The sequence below is a fragment of the Homo sapiens genome, chromosome 18, assembly GCF_000001405.40.
Source record: "Homo sapiens chromosome 18, GRCh38.p14 Primary Assembly".
In the NCBI taxonomy this organism is placed as follows: domain Eukaryota; kingdom Metazoa; phylum Chordata; class Mammalia; order Primates; family Hominidae; genus Homo; species Homo sapiens.
In genome coordinates this window covers 14,019,149-14,030,935 of record NC_000018.10, presented here as the reverse complement: position 1 = coordinate 14,030,935, position 11,787 = coordinate 14,019,149, and the positions used below count along the sequence as shown (strand labels likewise).

Below are 11,787 nucleotides of genomic sequence, written 5' to 3'. Positions count from 1 at the left end.
GCAGGCAAGATGAACTCATTGGACGATTACAGTGCTTTTACTTACCTCACTTTTCACCTGTTTCAATTCTTAGACTATGGTGGCACAAAGCCAGAGACTTTGTATTTTGTTCCCTGATGTAGCCCCAATGCCTCTAAATCCTGCTTGATATCTAATAGGCACTCAATCAATATTTCTGAATCAATGACTGGAGAAACAGCATGTCGATCATCTCTACCCCAGCCTAAGGCTCAGCTTTGCCTCCTGCTTTGTGGCCTGTCTCTCCGGGCCCCAGCCTTTCCTGATCTATTTATTAAGCACCAGTTCTTGAACATGCCTAATCCCATTCCAGCATATGTTGTACTGCCTTTTGTTCAAACCCACCTGCCCCCAATAAAAACAGGCTGCCTGTTAGCTTCCCCTTCTCTTGTCTGCTTGCCCCTTCCCATGGAGAGTCCTCTACCTGCCCTTGATAATCACCACTGCCCCATGGGTGTTTCTAGGCATCAGCTCCTGAACACCTCAGCCCACCCCATTCCTAATCAACTTTCCCCAGAGGCAGGAACAGTAACACCGATAAAGTGACTCTGGAACAATTTCATACACTATCACTCACCCAAAAGAGCCTTATGTGCTGGAAAAAAAAAAATGTACTCTATTTTGAGCCCATAGTTTCAGGAAATATATATTTGGGGAAAAAATTTTTTTTCTATCTATGCTATCACCAATACTGCAATACTTCACCTCAGAGACCAGATGTCAATGGGAGTCAGGGAGATTCCCCACACAGACAACTTCTTCAATACCAGCTGGGTGTCCCACAATTCAGTATGGTTCTGACACTAGCAAGAGTTAGCCCAGAGAACTTACAGGTTGAGGGCTGAGTCCCACAAGACTGCCTCCCACCGTTGTTTATCTAGGAATGTCAATTTCTCCCTCACTTTTGAGGTACAGTTTTAGCAGATATAACAGGATTCTTCGTTTACAGTATATTTTTCTTTTAGCACCATTTAGGCCCACTGTCTTGTGGTCTCCAAAGTTTCTGATGAGAAATCTGCTAATAATCTTACTGAGAATCCCTGATATTTAATTAGTTGCTTCTCACTTGCTGCTTTCAAGACTCTCTGTCTTTGGCATTCAAAAGTTTAATTATAATATATCTTGGTGTGGGTTTCTTTGAGTTCATCTTACTTGGAGTTTGTTGAGCTTCTTGGATGTTCATATTTATGTCTTTCATCAAATTTGGCAGATTTCTACTCTTATTTCTTCAAATATTCTCTTTACTCCTTCCCTTCTCTCTTCCCCTTCTGAGACTCCCACAGTGCAGATTTGTTCCACTTGATGGCATCTCACAAGTCTCTTAGGTTCTGTTCCTTTTTCTTTTTAATGTTCTTCAGACTCAATAATTTCAGCAGTCCTATCTTCAAGTTTGCCAATTGTTTTTTCGGCCTGCTCAAACTCGCCTTTGAATCCCTCTAGGGAATGTTTTATTTCAGTAATTGTACTTTTCAGCTCCAGAATTTCCTTTTGGTTTCTCTGTAGGTTTGCTGTCTCTTTATTGATATTTCCATTTGTTCATATATCGTTTTCTTAATTTCTTCATATCATCCTTTCTCTAAGGAAATTCTTTTCAAGTATGTATTTAGTATATCTGCCACCAACTCTTTTTCAGGAATAGTTTCTGTTGATTCATTTTTTTCTTCTTTGATAGGGACATACATTCTTATTTATTTGTATCCTTGTGATTTTTTTTTTTTTTTTTTTGGTTAAAATTGGACATTTGAATCTAGTAATATGGTAACTCTGGAAATCAGATTTTTCCTCTCTCTCACAATTTGCTAGTGTTGTTATTGGTTTTTTTTGTTTTTGATTTTTTGATTATTATGAACTGGCCCTGTGCCAAGGATAATCCTGGGGTGTAAACTTAGGTCTTCTCAAGTCTTTTTTCAGCCTATGCCTTTCCCTGGACATGCACAGTCACTTTCTAATTTTCCCCATATTTGAAAGTGTTTTTGAATGTCCTAGTCTTTAATGCTTGTCTCTGAAAAGGAAAAAAAGTGGAAAAATTAAGGAGGACTGAGATAAAAAGGATGTCAACTCTTTAGATCCCCTGGAAATTACTTCAGCCAGAGAAAGGGGGACTTGCATCAATGAAGGAAAGTAGAACAACATGGCCACTACATCACTGTACCTTTGTGATCACATGTAGCAATCAGTGATCAGAGCACAGATCCCTTATATTTAGATGACAGCATTCTTTTTTCCCACCTTGGCTCCCTCAAGATGTATGTAAGCTGTTCCAGGAAAAAAATGCACAGCTGCCTGCCATGGGGCTGAGGGTGGGGTATGTATAGCTGTTACTGTGCTAAAGGATACAATTGACTGAAATCAGCTAGAGTTTGTGTTCCAAGCCTTCTCCCGCAAATTACAAGCCTTCAAGAAACTCAAGAGTTCCAAAATAGTTACATCAGACAGATTCTGCCAGTGTAATTGTTGTCTAAGTTGGGAGAGAGATTCCTGGAGCTTCCTATCCTGCCATTTTCCCAGAATCTTCTGATCTCTTTATTTTAGAAGAGAATTTTGACAAGAAAAATTTATATTTCTTGAATGAGTTAAAGAGTTGGGGATCATATTGAAAACTCTATTTTCTCAGGGCACTATTTGAAGAAAAAGCTTGGGGAAAGCAAGCCAAGGAGTTTCCTAATCCATGTAATTTGATTCTAAGTTATATGTAAATGTAACTTTGAAAGTAGCATGGCAGAGACCAGAAGTATATTTTTCTAATGTGCATAAGTGGTTCAAAGAGCAGCCAACCAAGATAATGTACCATTGTCACAGGTAAAGCAGAGGGATGCAAAAGAAAGTGGGCACAGACAAGTGGAAGACTTATCCTTAGAAATAAGAAGAGAAATTCATTCTCCATAAATTAGAGGAAGAAGGAAAATACCTTGATCTATTTTAGAATAAAAGTATACCCAACCCACAGATATTTATATGTGGGTGTATGTACATATATGAGTAAAATTCATAGAAAGGACTAAGAAGGTACACATCAAACTGTTGACAGTTTCCTTCTGAGAAGAGGACCAAAGGTGAAGTTCAAGATTGAATAAGGGAGAATAGGTGAAATGTCATTCAGATGCAAAAAATAATAACAATAATCAAAAACTGTAGCTTACATGACATAAAAATTTATTTTTTCTCTTACATAAAATTACAGATAGACTGTTTGAATCTGTTGTGGTAAACTCAATGGTAAGGGAACTCATAGTCTTTTAATCTTGTTGCTCAGCATGTGAAATCTCCATTCTCAATTTTACCTTGTGGTCCAGAATGACTACTTCAATTCCAGTCACCACATATACATGCTAGACAACAGAAAGGAGAAATAGGGAGGGAAAGACATCTCCCCTCCCATTCTGATAACTTCCTAGGGGTTGCACACACCACTTCCATTTAAATCCCCTGGCCAGAATTTAGTCACCAGCTATAAGGAAAGCTTGGGGAAAAAGTCTCTGAGTGGCTACATGACTAACATAAATTTGGGGATTCAATTACTGAGGAAGAAGGGGGAAAAGATATTCTCTCCCAGTGGGGGGAACATATTTTACTATGTTCTTACTTATTTTGTGAAATCTTTACAAATACGTATTCACATATTAGTTTTATAATAAAAGTAAATAAACATAGAAATTTGGGTGAAGGAAATGAGAATTGAAAGGAATCAAACCTGACCTTTATTTTCTCATTGATAAGGTGAGGTTGATAATGAAAGAATGTGTGTGAGTTGAGGAGTTTGGTGAGTAGGAGACAAGTATGGAGCAGCTTTATGGGGACTGTGCAGGAGAAGTTTTGATGCACTTGTAGGACATTAGTGTTCCATGAGATGCATCAAAGCTGCCTCTGCTAAAACTGAAAATGGGTGGTCTCTTCTCCATTTACAGAAAAACATCCAGTTGTTATTTATAACTTTTGCAACTCCAAGTTTCTCCAATAAGTGAAGCCATGGGTACCAGCTGCAACTTGCCCATTGGCAAGCATGGGAAGATAAGAAAACAATAGAAGAAGCAAAGCACAGACTCCTCCAAAATAACTAATTGTTCTTAGTTGATATCTTTCCTTTTTTATGGAACATCTGACTGTGGATGCTAAATTAGATTGCATTTGTTATAATATGTTGTTATAAACTTCAAGTAAAATTGCTTCCAAGTTATTTGATAGAATTAAATATTTCAAAGTTTCCTAATATCAGGCAAAGAGCATGGCATTTGAGGGAGAGTGTGATGGTGCTGGAGTGCTGAAGACTGTCAACTAGGCAGAACATGAATACTTCCAAAAGAGGATTGAGCTGACCATCTGAGGCTGGAAAGTGCAAACGTGTGAACAACTCAGTCAAGACTTAGATATTCCCAGAAAAACTCAGTGCAATCAAGGAAAGGAACAAGAGACATTGTGTCGTGAGTGAGAGAGACAAGCAGCTGTTGTTGAAGCCACTGCATTGAGCTGTTTGTTATGCAGTTGCTGAATAATACAGACCTCCTGCAGCCCAGCAGGACTCCCTCCCCACTTTCCCCTGGCATAAGTGTGCGATTGGATGAGTAAGACAAATGTGGCAGAAGATAAACAAGGGTGGAGGTGGTTATGAAATGTTCATTAAACTGTGGTGAAAATTGAACATGAGTTTCAGCCTGGAATGAGAAGCATGAGAAACCAGGAGGGGACCCGCAGTCTGGGAAATAGGGGCAGTATAGGAAATGCTAGGTCCCACGCACACACATTCAGAAATACCATGGCACTGGGTGCAATGTAGAAAACATGAGGCAGGGTGAGGGGGTACTATATGGTATTTGACAAGAAGACCAAGAAGTGCCCAATCCGTCTTGGCCCTGTCCTTTGCAGGAGGTTTCCCAGGGAGATCTAGGAATCAGGAGACAATGGAAAATGGGGAAATTAAGTGGCATTTTATTATTAACCAACCTTGTAACTGAAACCTCACTTCCGAGAACTCTGGTGGTTGGACTAAAGCACGGGGCTTAAACCCAAGCTTTAAGAGAATCTCCCTACCTCCACCTACAAACACACCTCTAGGTAAAAAGCCCTGAGAATATACAAATGCAAAGTGCAAAAGCCACAGGGAGCAGCTGGCTCTATACAGGCCCAAGAAAGAGAACAAAAGAGGAGAGCCCTGGGATGTCACCTGTGTGTCCTTGTAAGACCCTTACCATAGGACTATTATTGCCCTAGCACTGTGAGACCAGTGCTATCTAATGAGTATTCTGTCTCTTGGGGAGAAGAGTTTGAGAACATGCCTTCCCCTAAAGGCCCATTGTCCTCTTGAATTCTGTCAACCAGTGAACTTATTAGCCAAGCCTATGTTTACCTCCCTTGTGGGTGTTCCCTTTAGGGTAGGAAATGCTGATGTCCAGGGAAGGCCTGACCCTGCCTCCTAACTGCTGGTTCCTCATCCAGCCCAGCACTCTCTGGGAGCCAGCCAGGGCCAATGAGGCCAAGCACAGGTGTTGTTATTTAGGGTCATTCCAGGCCACTTCCTCCATGCCACTCCCCTTTGAAGTTATGCCCAGCTACATTTAACTAAATCACCACAAAGGCCCCTCCCATTATTCAGTTCTCCCAGAGTAATTAAATATTCACAGAGCCATTAAAATCCCAATAACAAAAATCCCTCCCACTGTTGCCACAGGAAAACAGAGTCTGCTAATTAAAATTCTTAAAAACAGAGATTGGTATCCAGAATATCTTAAAGTAAAATTAAGTTTTTAAATGCTAATTTTTATTATTAGTCTATATTAATCTCATTTTGTCATCATTTCATTCAAGCCTCTTTTTGGCATCTTCCCTGGAAGTATCTGCCTAAGATGCCTTTCACAGGAACAAGTGCCTTCATCCCAAAGTTAGATTAAGCCAGTCCTCAGTATAATCTGTTCACTACCCTCCCAAATTCTAAAGCGACATCAGCCTCATAGGCTTGAAATATAAGGACAGGAGCTTTCCAGATAGCACAGCAGTTTATAAAGGGGTTCCCCTCACCTCCTACTCTTGTCCTCCAATTTTTGTGCCCATAACTATCTTACCACAAGGTAACTGCCATCAACCTTAAATCAGTGTAGACTTAGAATTCATGAGAAAGAAGAAGAGTGAAAAGAAAACAGTTTTCTGTGCACCTGTATAAGAATGTCAGATGCCCAGAATCCCCAACTCTGGACGTCAATGCAATGGAGCTGTCTCCCTTCCTAAGGTGTATTGTTCCTGGAGCTGGCACCTGGAACCTTTCTAAGTTCCTGTAGAATTTAGCTATGTGCTCTGCTGGCGCTCCTGGAACTCATTTCTCCCTTTAGTGCCCACTGAATGTATTGAAGGCATATGTGTTTCACTCTGCCTCTAAGCCCTGTGTTGTCATTGCAGATGGACTGATGTGCAATGCAGATGCAGATGCAATGTCATTGCAGATGCAGACTGGGCTGATTGTGAACCTGTGTCTAGATCGGAGCTTCCATGCCTCTTGTAAGTAGGGCTGTCCACATTTACAAAATGCATCTCTCCAAGTAACTGTCCCTCTCTTGGTCTCTTCCCTTGACTTCTTTAATTGTTACAGGATACTTAAACATCTCAGCCTGAGCCAGTGGCTGCCCTGAAATGTTTGCAGCTCTGAACTGTGGCAGTCCCCTGACTCTGCCCTTCCTTGACTCACATCCCTTTTAGCTTATTATAAAGTTTCCCGATTCTGTGCCTTCAGAACACAGGGAGGATCCACCCTGTGCTCATTTGTACTCTTCACCAAACCCTCGCCATCTCCCTGCTTTTTCATTTTCCATGTCTCAAGCAACTTTCTGAACAGCAAGAAGCAATCTTCATTTCTGCCACCTCTTATTCTATAGCAAGGGGTTGTGCCCTCACTGGTCATTCTGAATCTTCACCTATGATTTGATCACATGGGAGTTGCTAAAAAAACAAAACAAAACAAAACAAAAACACTGATGCTCCAGCCATGCCCCAGATAAATGGAATCAGAATCTCTGCAGAAAGGGATCCAGTAGTCAAGGGTAGTTTTTTAAGTTCTTCTCCCGACTCCAGATTGAAGAAGTCAGAGAAATCTGGTATGAAAAGTGTATCTTTTGGTCAAACAGGCTTTGTCTACCTCACTTCTAAGAGTAGCAGCCTTTCACCCTGTGACTCTCCTGTAATGGTCTCTCTGGATTGCCCGGCAATTCACCTATTAGAACTCCTGTTTACTCAAGGAGTAACCTCCTCTTTGGAAAAAGTCAGTTTCCAGCTCAAATATAGAATCTAATTAGTAGGCACCAATGGGATGTGAGTGTATGTCTATGGGAGGCTTCTTGAAAACGTGTCCTTGTCCTAAAGAAAGAGATACTGAGAGGATAGCCCCTCCTCTGTCTCTGGACACAGCCATTGCAGGCAGCCCTGCTGGAAGTTTGGCAGCTGTCTTCGCCACCAGGAACCTGCTGTAGGTCAAGCAAACACATTGGCAGGATGGAAAGAATCGAGTCCATGAGGAGACTGTGGATCTAATGGACTAGGCAATTCTGGAACTATCCTGCCTCTAGACTGCTCAGGGAAACCTAGAGGCACTTTTGAAAGCAGGACAAAGAAAACAGGAGAAAGCGAAGCATCCCTCGGAAGATGCTTTTGCCAGGGGACATTAAGAACCAGCAGTGATCAGCTTTGTCAAGCTCCTTGCTCTCTAAGCCTCCAGTGGCAACCAGATGTGTAACAAATTAGATTTTCAATCACGTCCCCAGTCTATGCTATTTCAGATTATGTCTTTATCATTTTCTCACTCCCACCTTCAAAATCTATTGAAGGCAGCATGTGCAGCAGTGCCCTGGGTATAAAAGTCATCTTGTCCAGCCAGAAGGTTCTAAACTCTGAATAGGGCTACTGGCCATTCTCTTTAAATCAAAACTACCTTTACCCAGACCGGAAAAATAAAATCAAACACTACATTTTCATCAATTTAGAAATTAGTCCATTTCATTTGCTTTCCAGAATTCTCTTTGTGTTTAAATCATCTTCATCAAGCTTCTTGCTCTGTAAGCCTGAGTAGCACCCAGATGCATAACAATTTGGATTTTCAATCATCCTCATTTACTACCAGGGAAACAGGTTAAAAAATCAAGACATTCAATAGGGTAATTTTACAATGCTGCATTATTTTAGTTAAAATAATTATCATGGTTTTTAACAAACTAAAAATGAAGATTTCCACTTTATACATACATTTATTTGTAAAGCTATAAGGCTTGCCTTCTGGGACCGTGAAAATATATTAGGCATGTTCACATGTATATAATCAGCTTTGGAGACATTTCAAACTGTAAAGACACTGTTGAGAACTTCTTGATTATGCTTCTGTTAGAACTAGCAGTTTCCCCACAGCAAAGCATGACAGTTGCACAGACTGGAAAAGTTAGAAAATGCCTGATTATTATTTTTAAGTCATTCTTCCTGGTAAAGCATGATTTTAGAGACATTGCTTTTGATTTCTTCCTAGAAACAGAATTTTGGCATGCCACTCTGAAACACAAACATAAGTCAAAAATGAAGTATTTCATTATCACTCAATGTTTTGGGTCACAGTCATCAAATACGCCCTTATTAGCATTGGGAAATTACTAGTGTATGTTGTGAATTTGTTTAATGCAAACTTATGAATCCACATTAAAATACATTCATTTAGAAATATTTAGAGAAGAAAACCTCTCAAATGATTAGGGAAAATATTTAAAGAGGAAAATATTTGGAAAAACTCTGTTTTATGTTTGTTCCCCCCAGTTTTGGCAATTGTTATCTTGCTTTTGCTATTATTCTGGAGCTCAAGGGTTTAATATGTTTGTCAGAATGCTTTTATTCTATCTAGAGAGAGTTAAATGATTAATGTTTTGTTTCTTCTCACATAAAATAGTGATGGCTTTGCTTGCCTTCATTTCATTGTGACAATCATTTAATTATTTAAAAGAGAGGAGAATGCTATTTCTAAGTAGATACTATTAGAAGCTTGATTCAACAGTTCTTATTAACAGAGTCAAATGTAGGCACACAGTAATTCCTCTGGTTAACCAACTGCCACCTATGTGCCTGGTACACAGTGAGTGCTCAGTAAGTGTTAGTCTCTTTTTGGTGTGCATCCTTTCAGGTCTGAATCTAAAATAATTTAGATGTTGATGAACATAAAGACAGTCAATAAAGGTTTTATAACAAGTTTCTAAAATATTCATGAGTATCATTCACATCAGTACTATGTATACTAATCATGAGAGTCATGCAATACATGCTATTAAATAATATAATGAAACTATTATTCAACTTATTTTTGTAATAGCATAAATTACTTACGACAATACTCCAAGCTTTTGGGCCAGAATGAAAACCTCATGTTACTTGCTCCCCCAGAGCTCTTTGACAAACTGCTGAAATTTTTGTTTTGTGCAATCCAAAGAAAACTAAGGGAGTTCCTTTTTTAATGTTGTGAAATTGTTTTCAGTCAGTCCTTCATTTTCTTTACAAACTCAAAGGCACAATAGCACAGAAGTTTATTTTTCAACCAAATCACTGCCTGTAATACTGGTGGAAAACGAGAAACAAAGCATATGGGCAACAATAAGGGATTGGTTAATAAATGGTAAAACATGAGATGCTATGCAGCCATAGAATGATGGTGAACAATGGAAAAATGGGTCCAATATATAGATAGAGTTTCATATAAAAATAGAATAAATGGAGAGATAGCTTCAGTGTTTATCTCTGGTTGATAAATTTATGAGTTTTCTTTTTTGTTTGTTCGTTTATTTTCCTTCTCTAATTTTTGTATGACAGCCGTATTTTGTGTTAGAAAAGTGGCATTTTAACATATCTCTATGATTTTTATTATTGTAAATTTTTATTAATTATTTCTAAGAAAGTGCAAAATGTTATGCAAATTTTATCATGACATACAATTTAGGCAGGAAACAGTGAAAATGTAACTTGTTGCAAGGTGTACTTATCAGCATGCTTGCTGAGGAGTTCATATTCTGTTATTATTCTGAATACCCACTAAAGCTTCCTTTTCTCTGATATTAAGTCAGAACTCGGAAGGTGAGATGACCAGGCTGATGTAAGCGAAAGAAGCCAAGGACACGGAGCAGGCCACCCTGATCTGTAACCACATGATATTTGAGGCGCATTTATTCTCATGCTATCCTGTAAGAATTCAATAAAGATGAAACTGCAAGAAATACTTTTTTTCTGTTTTCAGCTTCTTAATACAATGCAAGATTTTTGGAATCATTAAGAGAGGAATGAGATGACCTTGTGAAAATGTCTGAAAGGATTAATTAAAACTAGGCTACGATTGCCATTTCCATATTGAGTAAATTTAAGTAATACGAACATTAACAAATATATTGAAGGACTTGTTTCATACCCCTCATGGCTTTTGAAAAGCATTTTTCACCCAGTCCTGCAGTAATTTATACCGTGAACCACTTTATCCTCAGCATCAAGCAGGTTCTTGGCACCCAGCAGGTACTCCAATGTTTTAGGAAGACAGGCAGGAAGGGAGAGAAATATCTCTAAAGATTAGGAAGTCTGTACTACACCCAGGGGATCGGTGGTTCCTACAGTTGAGGGGGCAGCATGGTTGCACACCCAAGTTTTCAGGGCTTCTTGGAAATGTTATAGGATGAGCCAGAGCTAGAAAGCCATATGCACGATAATAAAGAAAACCTTAGGGTTCCTTTGAGATTCTTTATAAAAGTGAAATAAATGGGAAACACAAATTCAAACACTTAGTAAGAAGGCAAGACAAACCGCACCCCCCCTCCCCACCATGGAAGCTCCTCTTCTGTACAAGGTCAGGCATCTATCACCGTCTTTAAAAGTCTAGAGATGCAAATGCCCCAACACCTGCCTTCTGTGTACTTGGACCCCAAGGATGACGGAGATAACTGAAGATGTATTTAAGTTACTAGGTTCAAGAAGATTTAAGTTTAAAATAATGAGGAATATAGTAAAATCCAAGATGGCTATTCCCAAAATACTTGACATTTCTTAGTATTTCCTTAAATTTCAGAAGAAAAAGTAGAAGACTAGAACTAAATAACCTATCCTTTTACTGTGACTGTTAGACAGAATGGTCTTTTTTCCTCCCGTCACTTAAACCCCCACTCTCCCCTCCCTGCCCTGTGCTCACCATCTTGGTTCCCCTCCTTCACTTCAACTTGCCGGATTTCAGCCAGGGACTTTCATGGGTGACCATATTAAAATCTTAACTTTGATTTAGGTAAAATCCTGAGGTTGGTCACTTTTCTCTTCTTACCCTTCCACTCAAGGAAGCCCTGTCCAATATCCTCCTCTCAGCAAGCTTTCTGGTTGGTGTAGACCACATAATGGACACCGTTACACGTGCTTACCACAGATTTGAGTAAAATTTAAAATATGTTGATCAGAAATTTTAAGTGACACAAAAAATTTTAAAAAGTACTCATTATGATTTCATCTCAGCAAAATGAGTGGTGTTATTGTAATGGTTCACTAAGGCATTTATATCCAGGTAAATGATCAGATTCCAAACCCAATTGATTCCTTTCTCATTCTTGATTTCTGCTAAATTATAAAGTCCTAATTCAAACTACAAATAATCAGAAATAGCATCAAGTACTCTCTGGTTGTGTCAGATTGTTGTAGACATTCCAATAAAACTTGGACCCAGAAATCTCAGATTTCTCACCGGAAGGCAATTTGTTTTTCAGATGATAACTCCATGACTATCTCATCCTCAAAGGCTCTACA

At 39.2% G+C, this 11,787-nt stretch overlaps 1 long non-coding RNA gene across 1 annotated transcript, besides 1 other annotated feature; it reads left to right on the top strand.

Annotated features, from left to right (window-relative positions):
- Positions 4,848-5,671: an enhancer, noted in NCBI's record as "OCT4-NANOG hESC enhancer chr18:14025264-14026087 (GRCh37/hg19 assembly coordinates)". NCBI's record gives its function as "activates a minimal SCP1, AML or CMV promoter by ChIP-STARR-seq in naive H9 embryonic stem cells {active_cell/tissue: H9 hESC(naive)}" and the evidence as "EXISTENCE:reporter gene assay evidence [ECO:0000049][PMID:30033119]".
- Positions 6,412-10,232, top strand: LOC124904257 (uncharacterized). The gene is made up of 2 exons (XR_007066302.1): positions 6,412-6,501; positions 10,079-10,232. It is a non-coding gene; the product is annotated as an uncharacterized LOC124904257 (long non-coding RNA).
- The last annotated feature ends 1,555 nt before the right edge of the window (positions 10,233-11,787 follow it).